Source organism: Homo sapiens, chromosome 10, assembly GCF_000001405.40.
Source record: "Homo sapiens chromosome 10, GRCh38.p14 Primary Assembly".
Classification (NCBI taxonomy): domain Eukaryota; kingdom Metazoa; phylum Chordata; class Mammalia; order Primates; family Hominidae; genus Homo; species Homo sapiens.
The window spans coordinates 112,665,803-112,689,308 of NC_000010.11; the positions used below are offsets into that span (position 1 = coordinate 112,665,803).

At 38.2% G+C, this 23,506-nt stretch overlaps 1 protein-coding gene across 8 annotated transcripts in view; it reads left to right on the forward strand.

Moving 5' to 3' along the window:
• The window catches only part of VTI1A (vesicle transport through interaction with t-SNAREs 1A), a 408,381-nt gene that overhangs the window by 218,815 nt on the left and 166,060 nt on the right, over positions 1-23,506 (forward strand). For 5 of the 8 annotated variants that reach the window (NM_001365711.1, NM_001318203.2, NM_145206.4 and 2 more), the window contains 2 exons: positions 2,416-2,486; positions 3,135-3,196. In NM_001365711.1, coding sequence (NP_001352640.1) covers positions 2,416-2,486; positions 3,135-3,196 — 133 coding nt within the window. Of the gene's footprint in view, positions 1-2,415; positions 2,487-3,134; positions 3,208-23,506 lie in introns of all 8 variants that reach the window. The other 3 variants (NM_001365713.1, NM_001365712.1, NM_001318205.2) reach the window with 1 other exon arrangement.

A 23,506-nucleotide genomic window follows, 5' to 3' on the forward strand; every position in this document is an offset into this window, starting at 1 on the left:
TTCTTTTATTTCTTCATTCTTTCCACAGATACTTACAGGGGATATGATACTGGCCACAGACACAATAGTAATAACGTATTTCCTCTTCATTTTAGATTACATGTTATAATACCATCAATCTGAACAGGAGAAAATCTGATATAAATAGTATTTTGCTGAAATAATTGCAGTGTTCATGGTGCTCATATATATTAAAAGTTTTAAGTGAAAAAATGAATTATAATTGCTATATTATGTTGATAAAAGAAATCCAATGGAATAGTAATAACAGTATGACAAATTTGAATATTGTTGTGCAAGAAAAGAAAAAAATTCAACTTCAGTTGTTTCCTCCTTCTCCATTATTGATATCATCTTCCACTGCTGTGATGCTTCCACTAGGAGCCACATATCTTACCCAATTTTACCTTAAGGATAAATTGTATGGGGTTAATAATAAAGAGCTGGAATAAGTCTAAGAGGAGCTACTATACTGGGAAAGAATGTTAAGAATTTGTATGCTGTCAAAAATATATTTATGATAGTGTATGTAACTGTTTTCTATGAGTTGGATTTTCTGCCATGAAAGGAATATGCAGTGCTTTTTCTGATGTGCTTTGAAACACAAATTCTTCTGTTAACACTTGTCTGTAACTCTTCTGTAACACTTCTTTAACTGCTTGTTCCTCAGTGCTGGCATGGAAGCTCCATGAGTGCAAACACTTGATGTTGATTCCTGGCCATATCCCTGGCACCTGTACCTGGCACACAGTGGGGATTCAATGATTCTTTGTTGAATGCTCTGAATCTTACATACTGTATCATGACATGCCTTTATATGGTACCCTATAGCTTCCACAACATTTTTACTTAGGCTACCTCATTGGATCATAACATCAACTTGGTGAGAAAGGCAGGACAGATATTTTATCCTGTGAATAAGATTTTAGCTCAAATGGGCTACAACAAGACTAAGATAGGAGAGTGGCAAAATCATAGTAGTCCAGTGATGTTCTTATATCAATCAATTATCATTCAATAAATGCTTATTATTGTTGTAGGCTAGTCACTGTGCTAAATATTGTAACTGAATTACCTTATTGAACTCTTACAACAATCTCATGATATAGTACTATTATTATTATTGTACCCATTTATGGATAAACTGAGGCACAGTGAAGTTAGCCACACAGCTAGTAAGGGCCAGCACTGGGATTTTGGGTCAGGCAGTGTGAGTTCACAGCCAAAGCTCTCAATGTGGCCTAACTACTGCTCTATATTTTTAGGGTGTCCTTTAAAAAAAAAAGTCTAGCAGTGTGCATATATGAGCCAAATAACTACCATGGTGACTTCTTACTAACATCATTAAATTACTTGTTATTATTATAATAGATGCTTGTTTGAATGCTTATATGTTTATAAGCCAGAGATGATTGTTGTTATAGGTATGAGTAAAGAGACAATGCAAGAGGGAAAAGGAGAGAGAGATGTAGAACAAGGTAGTCAGATATTGCCAAGATTATAAGAGAGGCATCCTTCTAGTATGGAGTAAGGCACCTCCCAGGTAATGGGGAATGAGTCTGAAAACGATTTATTCAAGGCAGCTGGTTATTTATGATGTCAAGCCATACCTACTGTCTTCTAAAAGGGTCTACGGCTGGAGAAGAGACTGCCTAGTGTCAACCAAATAAGATGATCATGGCAAGAGAAAACCTCATTAGAACTCAGCAATGTGACTTTTTAAAGAATGTTCTAAATTGCCTATAACAGTATAAGGGTTTCAAAGTTCTGGGGTGAAAACACTGTCTCCAGCATGAGCTCTCTTCAACTACTTGAGAAGAAATGCACCTCACCTTGAGTTGACTCAAGTACCTACAGCCACTGGTAACACGTTAAATGAGCCCTTGCCTTGAAGAGAGCAAAAGCCTAGAGATAGTTCACTACCAATAAGCTACAGTAGGTGAGCATATGAGGATTACTTATGCAGGGTGAATACACTAAAATTAAAATTGTTCTAAATGGAGTCTGACATACATATGCAAAATGAAAGGGGAAAGGGAGAGCAGAATCATTAACATTACTAGTAACCTGTAAAAACCAACAGCTAAATTCCATGATGACAAAATAGACTAATGGACCTCAGATCTTCTCCACCTTTGCTGATATTTGCTGGAGTGGCCTGGACAAGACATCATCTCTAAATCATTATTTTCATGTTGGTTATGTTCTATAGGTCAAATATCTAATTATGCCTAAGATAAATAGATAAATTTATCAAATACTGTTTATATTTTTCAAATACATGAATTGAAATATGTGTCTGATGTATAATGCATGCATGCAACTTTAACATTTTATGCCATTTTAGTATTTCTGAGATTTACTCTCATATGCACTCCAAGTCATTTTTCCTCACTCAAATTTTCTTTTCCGTAGAGCAAATTGGTCAGGAGATGTTGGAAAACCTTAGTCATGACAGAGAAAAGATACAGCGAGCACGTGAAAGAGTAAGTACAATTGATACAGTTTTTTCACATATTCAGTAAATGAAGACATAAATGAAAGGCATTGGGACATAAACAATAGCAATTAGGTAGATATATGTGTGTAAGGTGAAAGAGGGTATAAGGTCTGTGGAAAGGAAAAGGAAGAGGGTGAGATGGAGCAAATAGCAGCTGACTCTATGTCCCCATTCCAGAATGTTCCCAGGTAGGTATTTTATTTACTTCTTATAGAGGAGAAGGTCACTGAGGGAGATTTTGGAGTATGTTCATCTTTTAGAGTGAAAACTATAGAATTATTGGTGGTCATCTTTCCTCACTTCATTTTATTTTTGTTTATATGTTTTTAGGACTTTGCACATTCATAAGCTGGAGATGAATTACCAAATGTATATGAAACTTTTTCAGCCTGTGCTTTGCTTTTATGTCCAGTTCTAGTATCCAGCTTAAAGCTCCCAAGATTACCTCTCACGTGTCATTCTCCAAATTTAAGAATTTTCCAAGTTTGTGTAGCTGTCAGAATGTATTTATTTTTGTGTATTTGAACATTTTTATTGTTTGGATTTTCTATCATGAAATAAATTGTCGCTTGCCATGCACTTTAGAAATAATCTAATTGCATGAACTTCTGTTTTGTTTTGTTTCTTCTTGTAGCTTCGGGAAACAGATGCTAATTTGGGAAAAAGCTCCAGGATTCTGACAGGGATGTTGCGAAGGTAAGAGCAAGGTAGGGACATATCTTTCTCTCTGTGTGTTTTTTTAAAATACTATGTTTTCATTCAATTGCAATGGGGCATATTACATGCTTTTGAGCTTCTGCTCTTAGTACCCTGTGCAGGACCCATTTGAAATAACAGAGCACTGATGTTAACTCTTGTTTGGACAGGGACACATACTAACACAGATTAGAGAGAAGGCTTGAGCTAGGGGGGTAACCTCAAGCTATGGAAAAAATTAGGGTTAGACATGAAGTATTTTTTCATAGCCTGAGGAAGGCCCCATGGGCAGCAGCAGGCTGATTTTATTTTCTATTTCGATGGCCTTCTTCTTATGGAGGGAATGCAGACCTACCATTTTCAGGAGCACATTTGCCATTAGCTTTGCTCTCTGTTGCCTTGTTTTCATTTCTTTAAGTGACGCTGTTTGGGGAAACATTTCCGTTTTATGTATATACTTAAAGATGATTTATAAAACGTCAAGATTATCTGAATAATATGTGCTAAGAAACAAATGTTCATGTTTTATATGTGTAACTCTACCTTGATTGATGGAAAATATGCTAAATAGTATGAGAAAATAGATGAATGAATGTAGGTAATGTTCTTATAAGTACATTCAGCACGAAATTATTTCACATTCAGAATCTACCACATAAAAATATCATCTAGCACGACTGTCAGTTTGGAACTGTGGATAGAAAAGTGAACGAGAAACATTGAGAATGGCCTCTGGAATGGCTTAACTGGAATTTTTAAGAAGGAAATCTTTATAGTTGATACTATAGAGACAACCATCTAAAAATAACTAAAGTCTTGTCTGATCACATATCCATATACAATAGTTTGCTAAAAGTATGTTTGCCGTGTTACAGACTTATTGCATAAGAACCAATCAAATGTCTAGTGGTTTGGTCTTCAAGGCTGATAACATTTTCTAAGCAGCCTGACCAGTAGCAAGCCTAAAGTTCCTGGGACATTTCCAGCCAAGGCTAGTATAATGTGACATTTCCCCTCATTTCCTTGAACCCGACTCCCAACTCAGAATCATAAGCCATCAAATTCTGTGATTAAGAGTACTATGTAAATGGCCTAAGAAAAACTCAGAATTCAGAGAGAAGGGTAGTAGCAATTGAAAGGAATGCTTCAGTGCCTATAGACAATAAAAAAGAAAGGAAGGGGAGGGAAAAACCTCTGTTGCTTCCCTGGGAGGGCTCCTGCGTCGTGAGCTGTAACGAATATTCTGCATATGTCTCCATTTTGTCAAATCTCATTAAAGAGTCCTCCTGCTTTATGTCAATTGAGCTGTCCAGAAATCATTCATCATTTTTAGTGTAAAAAAAATGATGTGGTTATTTAAATAATATCATATTAATGTTAAAGTTCAGCTGTCATTTAATGGTATGGCTTAATCAGATGTAGCATTTAGGAAAAATAGTTTATGCGGGCTCTACGTGGCTTTCAGGTTGGCAGATTCAAATAAGGATTTATGGGTTTCGAAACCAATGTATTTCTGTCCATGTTTCTGCTTGATCTACCTCACCCTTTAGTGCGGGACACTGCAGACAGTTATTTCAACAAATAAAGCATCTTCTCATATTGTGTTTGAATAAATTTGCAAGTCATTTAGAGAGGGTGAAGCACAAACAACTTCTGCAACCTTTGACTGGGCTTTCTGTAGGGAAATCATAATAACGTGGTTGTTTCAGAAGCCTACGGAAGAAAATTACTCTGGTGAAATCTACATGGGGTTCTCTTTGTAGGCAAACTCAGTCAATCACTGACTCATCTTCTTTTGGGATGTGTCTAGAGTATGAACAGAAATAAAAATTCCCAGATGGACATCACCTTGCTACATCTGAACCAAGGGTATGCTTAAGTCCACCTGTTCATATGCATGACAATGTTTTTCACTAGGCACAGCTGGGATCTTGGTATCAGCCAGGATATTCAGATATTTTCAACCAATGCCATAACGTGGCAGGTTTTCTGGGGACCAAATGCAGTGGTTTTAGTTTCTAATTACTGCCGCGTATGATATACAATGTATTTTGGACTTGAAAAGGCACAAACATTTTGCCAACCTCTCTGCTTCATTATTTTGGTTATCTCATGGAAAAGCTCTCTCTAGAGAAGTAGAGGCAGGGTTTATGTACCAAAGCCTTTTATTGAATGCTCTGATTTTGCTTTCCCTGTTACAACCCTCCCATTCATATGGCTTTCACTTCCAGCCCTTGTGAGCTTGTGTTTCAGAAAGAAAAGCCACATTCTCTTACTCTTCTTCTTACCAAAACTGCATAGCTATATCGTGTGTCAACAAGCGTTTCTGATTTAGGAAATGTTATGTTATTGAATCTTGTACTCATCTGTCACCTTCACAAATCTATAAAAGAAATGAATGTCCTCTTTGTGAAGTGTGAGCATTTACCTGCATATAACATAAGCTTATTTTCATATGATAAATTCTGTGTGACTGAAAATAGTTAAATATTCTGTAGTATACCAAACCAAGGAGTTGCTTTATTTAAAAGAAAGATTGCAGGTTATTTTTAAAATTTTTTAAACCTTGATTGTTCTTAAATTTGTAAAGTGAACAGAAATGGCTTGGCACGGCTCATCATTTGAGCCATTTTACGTATGGTCTGTTGTGAAGACAGGTGAAACCAGTGTTCCATTGATACCAAGATCTGTGCGTATGGCCACTTGATTATCTGTAAAACTGACCAAAAGGAATTGGAGAAATCAAAATAAGTAAGCAACAAAAATTAAGTTTATAAAATCCAGCAGCCACTAAATAATCATCTACCACTCATGCTTTTTAATATTTTATTAACTTCAAATAAGATAAACATCTATTTCCTTCCTTCTTTCCTTTCTTCTCTTCTTTCTTCTGCTTATTCATTTCCTTAGTAAATATTTAATGTCTGTATGCCAGGGCCGGGGATCCTGAAATGAAACCAATTTTATCCTCACTTTCAGAGTACTTTAGTGTAGTAGAGGACGTATGCATAAAAATGTACTATGGAAATTCACAAAATTAACGGATTCTCAAAGCAGCTATTGAAGATTCCACAACTCCAGTTAGTCCTTGCTGGTCATTAAAAGGGACACCAGAAAAACAAATAACTAATAAAAAATACGAGTTAAATGGCTATAATGCCCACCTGTTTGGAAAAAAAAATAGGGAAATAGAAAATGGTATATGGAATCATTACAAACAAATTTTGAAAAGAACTAAGGTGTGCAAAAACATTGACATATAATATGTAATTTAGTGAGACAGCAACTGCTTCAACCGAAAAGAAATTGCTCTTCATGTAAGCATGCCATGTTACCAAAAGAAAGAAAACAAAGGAGAAAATTGGTTCATTCAAAATTATAATAGTAAAACTCGACATCAGAACACAGCTCTGGCTGATTTCCTGGAAAGTAATTTTTCTTCGATCCTGACATGTGATGGAGAGCCATCCAGGGACAAACTGTTCATTTCCTAACTCTGTAGACAGAGTTTAAATACAGTGGAATTCAGATAATAATGAAAATGGTCATGAAACAAGTGACCATTTATGTTGTAACTGGGTCCAATAAATGGGTCTTTTCATTGACTTTCACAAAATTTGATTATTATAATTGGCTGTCTTAAAGTGTCACAGTATCACTAGGAGACTTAAATGTCTCTCTTCATATGTGTGTATTTATGTGTGTGTCTGTGTGTGTATTTTTTCTATACCTTTGAGCAGAAAGTCTTATTCGTTCAAACTGTCGGCAATCTGTAAAAATGAAAATTAAGATTTTCAAAATTCAGTCAGAATAAAAAGAAATCATGATTCTATTTCCTTTTACCTCTGAAGAGTTAATGATTGATCACTAATTGTACATTTGTTTCTAAAAGTATATGAACAATGCCTCAGGAATGTAACAAAGTTATAGCTTAAGAGCTCCACTGACAAAAATTTACAGGATATGTTACTACTTTACCTTGGCTCCTCCGCTGCATTGTATATGCTGGCAAAGTGCTTATAAAAAAAATGGCATAAGCCAGGTGTGGTGGCTCACACCCGTAATCCCAACACTTTGGGAGACCGAGGCAGGCAGATCACTTGATGCCAGGAGTTCGAAACCAGCCTGGCCAACATGGTGAAACCTCACCTCTACTAAAAAATACAAAAAAAATTCGCCAGGTGCAGTAGCTAATAATCCCAGCTACTTGGGAAGCTGAGGCATGAAAATCACTTCAGCCTGGGAGGCGAAAGGTTGCAGCGAGCCGAGGTCACATCACTGCACTCCAGCCTGGGTGACAGAGTGAGACTCCATCTCAAAAAAAAAAAAAAAAGAAAAAGGAAAAGAAAAGAAGGAATGGCATAGATGATTAACACCCATTCTGTTTGACAATCTCAAATCAAATAATTTCCTCTCTCCCCGACACTACCTATATTTGCCCCCATTCACACACATGCGCGCGTGCGCGCGCACACACACACACACGCACTCAGATTGTTTCCTTCAGAAAGTGAATTTTGTTTATCCTTCCAGTATGAGTATGGTTAACTTCCTTATGCGTGGAGCTGCTAAGAGGTCTTTTGTAACTAATCTGTAGTATAAACAAAGCAGACAGTATTAAATGCAGTTGACCTAGCCAGGACCATTCACACAATATTATCTGATATGCATATTTTTGTTAGAGTTACTTTCGAGTTAGCCTGGGGAATCATTGCCACCTATCATTGCTATCATATTTTACATTTTAAATGTAGTCTTTGGTAGAATGACAGGTAAAACATCTGGAAAGCTTAAATGCACTGTCAGAATGATTCCTAAGAGTAAATAGACCAGGAATGCCAATGCAAGATCTGTAAGCTATAGAAATGTAATTTTTAAAATAAAAACAGGTTTATTCTTACATATGCCATGGCTAGATGTTTAAGCTTTTTTTAAAAACTCATTCTTTTTTCTCCTTCATTTTGCCCAGGAAACATTCTGTTATATTCTAATTGTTCTTACTACAATGTCTGAAAATTCAACAGTATAGAGTTTTCAAGACTTGTGAGAAAAATGTCCTTGAAAATTTGCTGTAAATTTTTAGGCACTGAAGAAAGTATCTTCTCTCATAGTACCTTGCATTTATATTTTTACTTCTCTATCTCTTTTTCTTTTCTCTGTTCTCTCATTCCTCTTTCTCAGCACATTTTACTTACTGGTGATAAACTCGGGCCCTGACCTGAAATTAGTGTAGCAAAATCTCAATGTCTAAACTGTTCTTCAGCTTTTAATCAAGTGCTTATTCTTTCAGAATAAAGTGATTGAATTTCCTATAGATTCTTTGGACTTAACAGATTTAGGATCTGAGCTAGAATAATGCTACAAAGAGAATTTTTAAAAATCTTGGTTCTTTTTGTGTGCATAAGTTTATTTCTGTACAGTTGACTCATTGCCTTTGTCCTACGACCTCTTCAAGGCCAGCATGGGTAACGTTTTTACCAAACCAAAGAATAGCTTTGGAGTTGCTTATATGTTTCTCTTTAATAACATGCTTGTGCCTTTAAACATAGATTTTTGCTCTAGTGTCAGACACTTGAATGCAACACCTTATCTGTCAATGATAACTCTACCAGCTGCATTCTTTGAGCCTTAAGTGCATATGTGACCCTCAATCATGTATTGTACATCTTATCTGATTTTATCCTTAACAGTTCTGTGAAGGAGGCATCACTATCCCCCTTTTACAGGTGAGGCAAACTGTGCTTAGTGAAGTTAAGTAAACTATCCAGATTCACATATTGTAGAAAGGAACAGAATTAGGATGTGAACTTAGTTTGCTCTTTTGACACACTACACAAGGTTCCCAAAGGCCAGTTTGTGAATCAGAACCAGTTTTCACTAGTGGTAAAATGAGAAGAGTAAGAACAAACAGTTGAGTTTTTGTTATGCCAACTTTTATTGTGAGACACTATTATAGTTCCATTTCTTCTGTGAAATAATTGGTGGCAGTAAATAATTTCCTTAAACTAGGTTCATTGTTACAGTAAATAGAAAAATAAATACTTGTAAGTATTAAACATTGGCAATCATATGTCAGTCCTCCCACTGTCCCATGCCCCCCTCTCATTTCACTGACCAGGAAATTCAAAATCCATACTATGCTATGCCTTTTAATAACCAAAAAAACTGCTACTTATGCACTCTCTGATAGGTAGGTAGCAGCCACAGTCCTAGACATTTGTTATACGTTATCTTCTTTCACTTTCTATGATAACTCTATAAGATGGATACTGTTACTCCCATTTTAAGAAATAAGGGAACCACGGGTAAATATCATCAGGGTCTACATAAGTCATCTGCCTCCAGGGGCTGGTTTTCCTACTGTACCAACTATTTGTCCTTCTATGAAGACCCAGTTTCCTCACAGATGGTCAGACAGCCCTTCTGGGTGTGCAGACAGTTGTTCCTGAAAGCAATGAACAAACCCTACCAGATTCCACCATTGAGGGTGGGCTGAAGGCGCTCAGCTGCAGCTACTGTATGCCACAGGAGTCCCAAGTGAGTGTGTTCTTAAGGAGTCCTTTCGAATTGTTGTATTGCTAAGCATAGACTGTGTGGCATTAACCAGAACCGAGAAATAACAACACCGTGCAGCAGAAGAATCTATAATCTCCCTTACCTCCGGAATTTGACAAGTGTCATTGTTAGGAAATTTTATTTCTATATCTAACTTTGTCATCTGAGTCTTATCCTTGCTGGAGCAAACAGTTCCAGTCTTGTTTAATTACTCATGTGAAATTTCTATGTATACGTCCAGAGGCATATGTCCCAGTAGATAAGGGGTAGTAGGCTCTGGAGCCGCACTGGCTCTGCCGCTTTTTAGCTAGTAACCTTTGGCAAGAATCTCACCTCTCCGTACCTCAGTTTCCTCATCTGCAAAATAGGGATAACAATAGTCTTTACTATGGAAATTTTTATAAATGTGTAGATACATGTAAAGTGCACACAACAATGCCTGGCACATAATAAAGTGCCAGGAAACATTGAGGTATTTGTTATTATCATTATCGTCATCGGTTTTAAAAGAAATAGGGCCTGAGAGCAAAGACTAAAATCAAAATGTTAATTAATAGTTCTTCTAGGTTGATGAATTTTAAATTTATGTTTTTAAATTTTCTTTTTCCATTACTAGAGTTTCCTAAGAATTTTTTTTAATTAAAAATCAATAATAATAAATCCCATCATCCTTTCCTTATGTCCCTATTCCTGTCATGGCGCCACCATTCCCCCTTCCTTCTGGGACCCTCACTCAGCAATACTTCTTGCACTGCTCTGGTGCGTTCTGAGTACTACCTGGAGCAAAGCAATCCTCCAGTCTCACACATTTCCCATCTCATTTAGGCTGTTTAGGGAGGGGGGGCTCCTAGTTGGTCTCTGTGCTTCTTCTTCCCTTCTTTTGCCCTTTTGAATATTATTGACCAGTTTACTTGGAGGGTGCCAGATGAGTGCTGTTTCTTCTGCACTTAGGAATCTCCCATGGTGATGTCCAACACAGAATGTCTTCCTTAGTCTCATCGCTAAGGTTTTCCAGTGAACTTTCTAGCCTTGTTTGCTGCTGCTCTCTTTGGGTGGGCAGTATGTCCCTACTAGTGGTAACTACTTACAACCTCCAAGCTAGCTTCACTCTTCACTAATTCTAGACATTTGCTTTGTCTGTTACTTCTACCTGGAATGTTCTCCTTTTGCCACCTATATAAGTCAAAATCTTCCAGTTGCATGTGGCAGAAATGTAGATCAAACTGGCCATAAATATATCAACTCACGTAACTAAATAGTCCAAGGGTAGAAGCGACTTGAAACACAGTGTTGGAATCTAAAGGTTCCAACAATATTGTCAGGACTGGGTCTTGCTCTTTCCGTCTCGCATCTCAGATCACTTATGGATGGGTTCTGGCCTTCGTCAAGGATTCCCCTGGTGGAGACAGCTCTTGCCAGCATCTCAGTACAGCCATTGAATATAGCGATTTTTTCATTCGAATGCTTCCAGTGAAAGTAATGGCGTGGAATCTTACTGATTTGGATTGGTTCTGGTTAGGTAAAACTCCATTAATCTATGATCTGATGTTCTAGACATGAGAACCTGTGCAGGGGACGGACAGACAGACTGAGAATGGATGAGGCATAGTCCCCTCAGAAGAATCCGAGAGCTTTTTTCCGAAAGGGTAATGGATACTGGGTGGGCAAAAACAACAGATGTTACCTTTGGAATAGGAATATTCCAAATGAGCTTTTGTCTATACTCTGGGTCTCAGGTGAATTACCTCATTCTCCCTCAAGCCTTCTTCACTCTCCCAGCCAGAAATGATGCATCTTGTCCTGATCTTTCACAGCAGCTTGTACTTCTCACAAGACATGAACATCATCCACTTTGCATGGCATGTATTGTAATTATTATCAACTGTGTCTTAATTTTCTTCTAGATTTTTTGTATCCTCCACCTTATCCCCAAAAGGATGCTTTACAGCTCCCCCACAGTATTGTGCAACCAGCAGAAATTAAGAAGGGAAGAAACACGGATGAAAGAGAAATAAAACAAAGCCAGGGAACCATGGTGGTAACTCCTGTGCAGATTCCTAGACAGGTTTAGAATTTCCCACCTGAAAGCAGAGCAGGACGCACAGTCAGCTGGAGGGTCCACAGTGTTTCATGAAAGCTAAAGCAGCCTTAGTCAATGCCCAGCATAGCCTTCTTGCCACATACATGGGCCCTTGATAACCAGTTGATAACGTGGTTACTGGAGAGTGGTGATAGTGCACGCAGCACATTGCTGTCCCCAAAAGAATGAGGAGTTGCTATAGGACCAGTTGTCTTCAGGATCCTGAGGTCAACCCTCGCTTCTCTATTGTGAGATACTGCTGGTCAGGAGCCTCCTCACATTTGGCTCACGGCCATGTTACCCTGATGTAGGCCTCATCAATGAATAGTCTTTGGAAGAATGCCTAAAAATAGTTTCAGAGTTGTTATCTGGGTTCATATGGGTATAATTTAGTGGAAACCCTGCGGGTTTTTATCTATTGCACTTTGGCTACATGTAAACATGTCCATTCAAAGATAAAATATGTAACTTCCCAATAAGAGAATATTTTTCTCCATTATTTAATCACAATGGAAACACATCTTATCTTTTTTCTTGATTGTGAGCCACAATTTGACCTAATTTTTGAATTACTTTCCTTTTATGATTTTCCTTTTTTCCCCTGGATGCATGCCATTCTTGAATGTCACATAGAATATGAAGGGTGCACTTTACATTTTCCGTCAATGCCTTCTTTGAACGCAGCCTTGAGCTGTTAACTTGAAGCAAGGAGCCCTAGGCCTTCCTTATAAACAAGTAATGGAGCCCTTAGCCCCCCTTGTAAATGGCTATTTATTAACATATACCATCACCAAACAACATTTTATAATTCCAGGCCCCCACACCATTACACCACTGTCTGCTCCATTGTAAATTAAGGGAGGGCTTTGGCCATCTGTTTCATTAAATGCCAGAGGCAGCAAACAATATCTGAACTTTATAAATCGAGAGTTAGGGCTTCTCCCTCCACAAATCTCCCCCTTCTTCGGCTGCCACCACCACTACCGCCACCATATTTTTTTGTTTGAACGCTCACATTGTAAACTAGCGTATTCACACATCAATTTTAAAAGGCTGGCTGTGTTATAAGATGGGACAAAGCAAGCTCAGTAACAGCTCATGCACAGTGCAGGTGGTCGAGCTAGCTGCTACCCAGATCAAAAGTCAAACAACTGTGAATCTGCTTTTCAAAGTGCAGTTAGGGAGACAAGGCAAGGCTTATCTGCACAAACAAGGACGAGTTATAGATATACATCACAAACGCAGGAGGACAAAAGGGGATTTCATCATCTTGCAGGGCAAGAAAACCTTGTAATGCTGACAATTCTGAGGGCATCTCTGGAATATGTGGCTTGTTTTCATTTTTGTTTTTTTCTATAATATAAAATTAGTTTTTTATTATGCGGCAATTGATAATTATTATTTACACTTTGGTGCTGTTCCTAAAGTAGCTAAGAATTTTTTTTAAGCCACCGTTAGGGCAGGAAATGGCTCCTTTTCATGATTGCATTTTATTTTTCAGCAGCATTTAAGGACAGACTCCTATTTATACCACACAAGCAGTTTTGTCTGTTGTAAACAAAGTAAGTGGCTGGGGATTGTGCTTTCCCAGAAATGTTTTCCAGGGAAGCCATAATAAGAAACAACTGTGTATATCTTGAGAATTTGTCATCTAGGTATTAAGAAAGAATTCTTTTCTTTTATGGGGAAAAGAAAGCACTGTGAAGAAATATATTCCATACTCAAAAGCGTAGTTAAAATATTTCTTAAATTGTGATGTTTGACCACCTTGCTAGTATTAATTGAGGTTTTCATTTTTTATTTAAAATTATCTCTAACATTTTTGACAACATGGAAGCTGATGTGATAGGAGGTGTCACGATTTTTTTTTTTAACCTCAGTGTTCTTTTAAAAAGGCTAATGACTTCTTTTGCAAAGTTATGTGAAGAACTTTGGAACCAAGGTGTGAATATCAATGGGGAAAATGCAAGAATGGCAAATTTGACCACAATTTTAAAAAGAGGATTGAAGCAGTTTGGAATTACGAAAACAAACAGCACCTTAGTTTCCTGTGCAATTATAGTTTACCTAGGAAAAAGCTATTCCACTGCCCACCTATCTTCCAATGGCTTAATGATTTTGTGATGAGGGGAAAAAAAAAAAAACACCTGTCAACCATTTAATTCCCAAATCAGTTAAAGATGTCCGAATCAGGTCCCCCAATGCTTTCCTGAAACCACACTCCCTGTCTCAAGCCATAGGGCAGTGGTTCCTATCCTGGAGTGGGCTTCATGGAGTCTTGAATCTCTGAAGTTTTCTAAAAATGTATGTGCATATGTGTGTATATGCATCTTTCTGGGGCTTTTCCATTACATTTCCTTAAAAGGTTCAAAAGAGTCTACAACCAACTCCAAAAAAAAGTTGAGAAAATGAGATATTGTTAAAGAACTGTGTCCAGTTTCGTAGCTAAATACCATTTAATTACTTTGATACTCTGGCTTACTTAAAATGCATTGACCTACAAGGAACACTTATTTTGAATTTGTCCACAAAGTTCAACAAGACACTGAAAACTCAAGGATGCCATCCTTGGGAAATCAGATCATTTGTCAAAAGTACGTCCTTAAAGACAATCAGAACAATTACATTTATATGGGACCTTATGGTTTGTAAGACACAGTCACATATATTATTTTTTTAAGTTATTCTTCGTAAGAACTCTGAATTCATATTGTCATTATTATCTTGTGGTATAGATAGTTGAGACCTACAGAAGTTGAGTCTTGCCCAAGTTCATGCCACAAAGATAGAGCAGAACTTGGACCAGAACCCTGGTTTTAGCCACAGAAATCATGTTCTTAGCAGCATTCTGGCGGTAACACCATCAGCCTCTTCTTCAACATCAAATGTTTAATGTCTACTGGGTAAAAGGGCATATGGAGATTCCCTTAAGAATCCAATGTTAGTCACTGGAGATTCAACAAATTCAAAACTCTACTCCTAGGTAGCTTAATATCTAATTGGGAGCTTTTGTTGTGACATTTTAAGAAACAACAATACATAGTAACTTGTGCTACATAGTAAGTGAGAGATCATTGCTCTAGGGGATGACAGGAAGAAGAAATTCCTGGGGCCTGGATGTGCAGATAAGACTTCACAGAGGAGATGATAGGTGAGAACCAGACCTGACAGTCACTGCCCCATTCTTAACCCACATATGGCATTATGCCTCTTTCCTTCTCATGGCAGCTTCAAGGTAATAGCTCCTAGCGGCAGAATTTGAATCCTTGCAGGCAAACAGTGGTGATGGTGTTGGGGTGTTAGGAAGATGTTTGGCCACAGCTGTGTTGAGGATACATAGGAAATTAACAAAACAACTTATAACCTCATCTGCTCATAAAGTTAATATAATGTGAAAGCTTCAATCTTACCTTAAACTGTTGAATTTTTCTCTTTTTTTCTTTTCTTTTTTTTTTTTTTAAAGGGACAGGGTCTCACAGTCACTGAGCTTAGGGTACAGTGGCCCAACAATAGCTCACTGCAACCTCAACTTTCTGGGCTCAAGTGATCCTTCCACCTCCACCTTAGCCTCCCAAGTAGCTGCGACTACAGGTCCACCTCACACACCCAGCTAATTTTTAATTTTTTCGTAGAGACAGGATCTCCTTATATTGCCAAGGCTGATCTCAAACTCCTGGCCTCAAGCAATCCTCTTGCCTCAGCCCCCCAAAGTGCTGAGATTGCAAGCATGAACCACTGTGCCCAGCCAGGAGCCTTCAGCTTTTAGAACAGGAGTGAGCAAATCATAGACAGCAGACCAAATCCAGCCTGCCACCTGTTTTTGTATGGCCTGCAGGCCAATAATGGTTTACATGTTTAAATGATTGGGAAAAATCAAAAGAAGAATATTTTTGACATGTGAAAAATTACACAAATTCAAATTTTTTAATTATGATGAACTCTAAAATTTTAAGTAAGGCTTGAAATCACCTAATAAGATCTAATTGTAAACAATTATGAAAAATCTTTTCACTGGTTGTGCCCCAGTTTTAGAATAATATTGCAAATTTTCACACACTTGACTAAAATTACATATTTACAAAACTTTACATATTTATAAAATTACCTATTTATTAAAAAGTTCATTTTAAAGACAGGTCTTTGAAATAATACTGCATGTTGACTATACATATTCTACATATGATTCATGAATAGATGCAAAGAATGTTGGCAGAGTACATAAATTATTTTATTGTGGCATATTATTAACTTGATAAGCATATCACTTAAAAATACTGAATCTTTTCATGTGTCCCAATTAAATCTTTATCATCGAATGGGCTTATAGAAATTTAGTTATTAGAAAACTTGCTCAGCCAATAAAGAAAAGCATTCATTTTCTATTCTGTATACATGATCTGAAGCCATAGCTTTTTAGGTCTTTTAATCTGTTTGTTCAAGGCCAAGCTATTTATATGGATAATTTTTAAAGCATCTGTATAAAGAAAAAAAGAACATTTTATTTATTCACTGGGGTTTTTATGTGCCTTGAAATTGCATAGATAAAGTATTTTCGAGCTCATGGATCTGGAAGAGATAAAAGGTCTCTTATTTTATAGGGCTTTATGTAAGCTTTTCAAATATACAGTTTTCTCATGGATAGAATTTTTTAAATAAAACATTATTTCACTATTATAGCTAGAGTTTGATGTGGGCACCTCTTTTTCTTCCCTGAATTACATGTTAAATTATGTGTTTAAGGTTGTTTTTATTGTATTTTACCTTCTGAATTTTAACAGTTTTCCTTTTGGAGAAATTAATTTACCAATCTTCATTTTTAGTAGTGGGCAACTATTTAATAAAACCAGAATGCTAAGTGTTAAATATGAGTAGAAAACTCAAAAGTCAGATTTAAGAAACAGAGAATGAAACATACCACTTTGGTTTTTGCAACACGCTGATATGAAGATGAAAAATTATTTACCTCCCCCTCCTTAAGAACTTTTGCTAAGCCTGGTAGACTGAGAGAGAAGGAGCATTTTTAAACTCTGGGGCGACTGGATCCAGACTAGATTCTGGATGAACATTAGCTGCTGTTAGCTCTGCCATGTCAGGGCCAAGAAACAGCTTTCCCTGGCTGGAGCATTCCCAAGCTATCATGGCCATCAGACAGGTGGGGAATAAATATTGTAGAATGGTGGGACATTTGGAGAGCTCGCTCCTGATCCCGGGGACTCAATTTGGATGGGCTTCAGTTGGAGCAAACAGGTGTTCCTGGGAGGAACTGTCCTCAGATGGCTGGAGGGGGTGCCATTCTTTCACACACATAAAAAGTTCCTCTTCCCTCTGCCCGCAGGAAAATTAGAATTAACTACAGCTTTTTCTTTTGAAATGGAAAAAGAGAAATAAAAATATGGCACCAGGTTTTGGCTCTGGCTGGATTTCCACAGAGCATGCAATCTATGATAAGTGATGAGAATTCTTGAAGCAAAGCATGCTTGTAGTTTCAACATTGGAGATGCTATAAAAAGTAGATGAATGCAAAGAATCTTTTTACCAAAAGATGTACCTATAAAATCAAATAGTCTTTCCTTCTGTTATTCATTTGTTCATTCACCAAATATTTCTGGAGCAGTTGCGATTCCCCAAACACTGGGCTAAGTACTAGGGATGAGAGTGTAACATATAACAAGGTCCTGCCCTTATAGTGCTTGGCCTGAGTTAGTAATTGGTAGGAACATGAAAGTGAACCTGAGTGGTCTTTGGTAGACTATAGGCAGAAAGTGGTTGCTGACCTCAGAAAGATTTGTTTTTCTGCAATATTACCATATCAAAGATATGACTAACTTGTTTTATTTGGGAATATTCTTTTTAAATCATATTTTTCCTATAAAACAGAAAATAGTAATATTAAAGGAATTTTTAAATAAAAAAATTGTTTTTAATCCCTGTACCTTGAAGCAAGCTATTCCTTTGACCCAAGTATTCCCTTCCAATCTTTCAGTCATGTTTCAAGTTCAATATTATATTGCTCTACTCACTTAATATTATAATCTTAAAGTTTCCACATAGCCTTTGTGATTTGTATTTTTGCCAAGTTTTAAAAAGTTATTATAATAACAAAGGATTTTTAAAAACCTCTCATTTGGGGCCAGGCACGGTGGCTTACACCTTAATCCCAGCACTTTGGGAGGCCGAGGTGGGCAGATCACCTGAGGTCAGGAGTTCGAGACCAGCCTGGCCAACATGGCGAAACCCTGCCTCCACTAAAAGTACAAAAATTGGCCGGGCATATTGCTGGGTGCCTGTAATCGCAGCTACTCAGGAGGCTGAGGCAGGAGAACCGCTTGAACCCGGGAGGTAGAGGTTGCAGTGAGCTGAGATCGTGCCACTGCACGCCAGCCTGACAACAAGAGCAAGACTCCGTGTCAAAAAAAAAAAAAACACCTCTTATTTTGTAAGGGTAAAAAACGTTATCAAGAAACAGGGAGAAAATTATTCATAATTATACTGGCTAAAGGTCACAACTATTAATTGGCATATTTTATTCCAGTTTTTTCTGTGTATTTTATGTACAACATATAAAACTTTATATCCTATTATTTGCATTAAGAGTAAACGGAAAGTGTTTTCCCATGCCATTAAAAACTCTTTGTAATCATTATTTATATGGTTGTATGGTATTCCCTCATAGAAATATTTCCTTTCTGTTAAACATACAGGTTTTTTCTAGCTTATAGCTATACAGTGAAGCTATGTATCTTCATTCATAAACTATATTATTTGCTTAGTGTGGCATCCTTGAAGATAATAAATGCTCATCTCTTTTTTTTTTTTTTTTTTTGAGACAGAGTCTCATTCTGTCACCCAGGCTGCAGTACAGTGGCGTGATCTTGGCTCACTCCAACCTCCGCCTCCTGGGTTCAAGAGATTCTCCTGCCTCAGCCTCCTAAGTAGCTGGGATTATAGGCACGGGCCATCACGCCCAGCTAACTTTTTTGTATTTTTAGTAGAGATGAGGTTTCACCATGTTGGTCAGGTTGGTCTCGAACTGCTGACCTCGTGATCGGCCCATCTCGGCCTCCCAAAGTGCTGGGATTACAGGTGTGAGCCACCACACCCGGCCTGCTCATCTCTTTTATGACTTCCTCATTCTTGAGTTCTTAGCTCTCTAATCTTGAAGTCAGCTGGGATATATCTTCAAATAACTTTTCAAGAAAGGTATATGATTTGGATCTGTTTTTTCTATATAGGAACTGCCACCAACTGCATATATGTGACATACACATGTGTATGTATCTGTGTACATTGGGCTGGCCGTAATATTTTTAGATCCTACCCTTCTTAGGAATCTATAGATGTGGAACCATTGTCTTCTGGCATTTCGTGTTTCAGAATAGCAGAAAAATAGACCAATTTATGATACTCTGGAGTGACATGTTGTAGGTTTTCTTTGTTTAGTTTTGGTTTTTTAAATCTTTGGAATTGAACAGAGTCTAGATATTTCTATATATGATGACTTTCACTCATTTTGCATGGATCACAGAACTTTAAATCTGCAAATTCAAGTCTTCCCTCTACCTACCAGAAGCGGTTTTTTAAAAATCATGTCTTGGATTATTGCTTCCATTTCAAATTTTCTGGTGTCAGGATCATCCATGATTCTCACACTAGACCTCTGTATCTCTTATGTTTGTCATGTTTTAAAAATAATTTTTTTCTCTTCTTTTTCTTCTCATTTATCTCCAACACCATTAACTCCCCTCTCTAGCATTGTTTCTAGTCTGTGCTGCTGGTTATGTGAGTATTAATGCTGCTGTTGCATTACTGGTTTCCTTGAAATCTTTTCTTTATCCTATTGCCTCATCTCTTATCTCCTTGAAGTCTCGCTGGTTCTTACCTTACCGTTTTCTGCCCTGGCTTTATAAAGCTTTACCTTCTTACTGTTTTTATTAAGGACACCAAAGTATTTTCAAAAACATTTTTTGGTTTCTTTAGTTCATAAGTTTCAGAATCGCATTCTTTCTCAGAATCTTTAGGATGTTGTTGTTTTTTTCCCCCCTTGTTCTGTAGTATTGATTTTTCCCATCAACCTCATGTTATTTTGAGTTTTTTATTTAGTTACTTTTCAAAACGACTTCTTGAATCTGCAAATGGAGAGCTGCTTGATATGCTCGCCTCTGTCCCAATTCCCTTTGTCTGTGGACTGTCTTTATTGGAAAGAAATGAGACTTCTTCCTTCTCCCACTCCTTGACTCTGTTGGGAAAAATGTCCACCCCTTATGTGTACAACTGTCATATCCTTCCCAAGCTTACCCTGCCACCACCACAAAAAAACACACTATTTATGAAGACCACAGTTCCCAGAATTCAGTGCATGATGCCATACCTTCTCTATAGCTACCTAATACTGATTTATTGTTTTCCTGGGAACTCTGGTTTCCTTACTGCATATGGAACAGAAACAAGATGGGGAATGTGGAGAAAAGGAAAAGAAGACAGCAGTCCAAATACCTCCTGAGTTACGATACTTATAAGAGAGATTGCATCTTGATTTCTGGTTGTTACAAACCATGCACTTTCTATCTAGTAGAAGACTATGTGGCAGGTGAACCACTTCTTTCATTTTTCAGCACAGTTCATTTTTTGTAGCAGTAGAAAATCCTAGGCTCTGGCAGTTTGTGATGTAAGTTTTGGTGGTGTAAATTTTCATCATCTTCTATTTTCTTCATTCAAATGTAATGGACACTTTGATAGGGGCAGCATTAGGATCCATGGAGAGGCACCATTGTAAACTGGAAGCTGAGTGATTTTTAAAATTGCCCTAGATAAGGGGGCCATACAAACTATTTCTATAGCCCTACCCTTGGGCCTGTCTGCCTGGGTGGTCCTGTTTTAACTGTTGGTATTTAATTATTGATGATTTACTGACACAAGGCATGGAAGCCTTAGGGAAAATGAATTCCGACGTGCTAGTTTCTTTAGATGAATCTTCTTTGAGGTTTAAGTGTCCTTCTAAGTGGTATAGTGAGGCAGGATTTCGGGGGCCATTTCAAATACTGCCTCGCAAAGTCAGCCACGGTGTAAGTGCCTACTATATGCTCTGGACAGAATGAACCTTATTAAAGGGCCTAGTTCTTTCATAGTTTTCATGTAACCCATTGATGTCTTTCTTTTCACACGTTATTTCCTCTTGAACATCACTGGTTTCGTGGTGTTTTTCTAAGGCTTCTGAAAGGTACTACAAACTATGTATATAGACAGGATTGAACTCCACCAGAAGGTGGAATTTTTCTTTAGGGGCACTGTGCCATCAAAACTGAGCTGGTGCCCAAATGCCTCCCTTTAGAGCTTGCTGCCTTGATCATGCAGCTGAGCTGTCTTCTCAGATGCTCTGTGGGCACCGCTGTAACCTGTTCCCTCAGCTCTGCTGAGTGTGGCATAATCAGATTCCTTGCTGAGAATCGGTGAATGGAGGGGTAGAGGGGAGCCAGGGCTAGATCCTGGAGGACTTTAGGAAGCTGCAGATCAGATCAGAGAGCCTGGATAGGCAAGGATGAAATCAAACTTCACCACATCAACAAAACAGGCCTAGGCATACTACAACTTTTTTTTTTTTTTTTTTTTTTTTTTTTTTTTGAGACGGAGTTTTGCTCTGTCTCCCAGGCCGGAGTGCAGTGGCGCGATCTCAGCTCACTGCAAGCTCCACCTCCCGGGTTCACGCCATTCTCCTGCCTCAGCCTCCCGAGTAGCTGGGACTATAGGCTCCCACCACCACGCCCGGCTAATTTTTTGTATTTTTAGTAGAGATGGGGTTTCACCTTGTTAGCCAGGATGGTCTCGATCTCCTGACCTCGTGATCTGCCCGCCTCGGCCTCCCAAAGTGCAGGGATTACAGGTGTGAGCCACTGCGCCCGGCAACTTTTTTTTTAAGCAACAATTTTGCTTTAATAGGACTTGAAAATTTTCACCCAGTTTTGCTTTAGGGAAAAATGTATCAACAATATGTCTTGTCAAGATATTATTTTGTAACATTTTCAGAATGAAACCCATCTCTGGGCACTGGGGTTCATTCTTGGTGCACAACTGCCTCGTTGATCAAGTTCTCTGGCTTTTATTATTTCTGCTTGCAAATAGAGATACAAAACAGCCAGCCTCAGAAGAAGGAGGGGCTGATTTCATCAGCATGACTAAAGCTGACAGAGTACTTGAGAGGACCTGGCAGGGTACTGCAGAACATCTTGGCCTTGCAGATCTGTGAGAAGGAAATGGGCACAGCCCTACAGACATGAACCAATGGACATGATATGGAACCATCCTGGCCGGTGACCAAGTCTTTTTTTTTTTTTTTTTTTTTTTAAGACTGGGTCTTGCTCTGTCACCCAGACTGGATTGCAGTGGCGCGATCTCAGCTTACTGCAACCTCTGCCTCTCAGGTTCAAGCGATTCTCCTGCCTCAGCCTCCCAAGTAGCTGGGATTACAGATGTGCGCCACCATGCCCGGCTAATTTTTGTATTTTTAGTAGAGACAGGGTTTCACCTTGTTGGCCAGGCTGGTCTCGAACTCCTGACCTCAGGTAATCTGCCCGCCTCAGCCTCCCAAAGTGCTGGGATTATATGTGTGAGCCCCTATGCCTGGCCAAGTCTTTTTCTTCTCATTTTTATTACACAAATAGTAACGTCAAAGCAAAAGAAAACTTTTTTTTAAAGAAAAGGAAAAAAAATCACTCCTAACACCATAACCTACCCCATCTACAATGATCTCTCCCCTCCCTTTTTTTTAGTTTTTACTTTTTATTCATCTGTTGACATTTTTCTTCATATGGCTCTAATTGTAGTGTAGCCAGTTTTAAGTTCTGCCTTTTTGTTGTTAACATTGCAGCTTGTACTACTAATGTCAATTTTTTTCTTTTTTTTTTTTTTTTTGAGATGGAGTTTTGATCTTGTTGCCCAGGCTAAAGTGCAGTGGCGCAATCTTGGCTCACTGCAACCTCCGCCTCCTAGGTTCAAGCCGTTCTCCTGCCTCAGCCTCCCTAGTACCTGGGATTACAGGCACATACCACCACACCCAGCTTATTTTTTGTTTGTTTGTTTGTTTGTATTTTTAGTAGAGACGGGGTTTCATCATGTTGGCTAGGCTGGTCTCAAACTCCTGAGCTCAGGTGATCCACCCACCTCAGCCTCCCAAAGTGCAGGAATTACAGGCATCAGCCACTGTGCCTGGCCTACTAATGCCAATTTTTCATAGTTATTATAGTTATTGTCAGTAGTGGGTTTTTTAAAAATCAAGTTATTATGACATATATGGAGGCTCAGGAAAGCCCAGCAGTGTGTGGTTGACATTAATTTGGTTTCAGAAAATAAAAGGGCTGCCTCTAGCATGTCCTTAGAGCTCCTCAGCCTGGTATTTAAGAGCACTCTCAGTTTTGACAACTGGGTACTGAGAATTATTTGTACCTTTCTATAGTGACCATCCAAACCACTTGCATGTATTAATTTTAACGTGTTTGATGATAATATTGATGACAAAAATGTATGTATAAGCAGAGCAGGCAAGTCACTCTGGTAGGGAAAAGTGCAGTGAATTCCAGAAATAGCCCCACTTTTCCCAAGGTATTCCCTACCTGACTGGAAGGTAATACTGAACTTGGGTTAAGGCTCCATGCATTGTCTTCATCAGATGTCAGTGCTTGGAA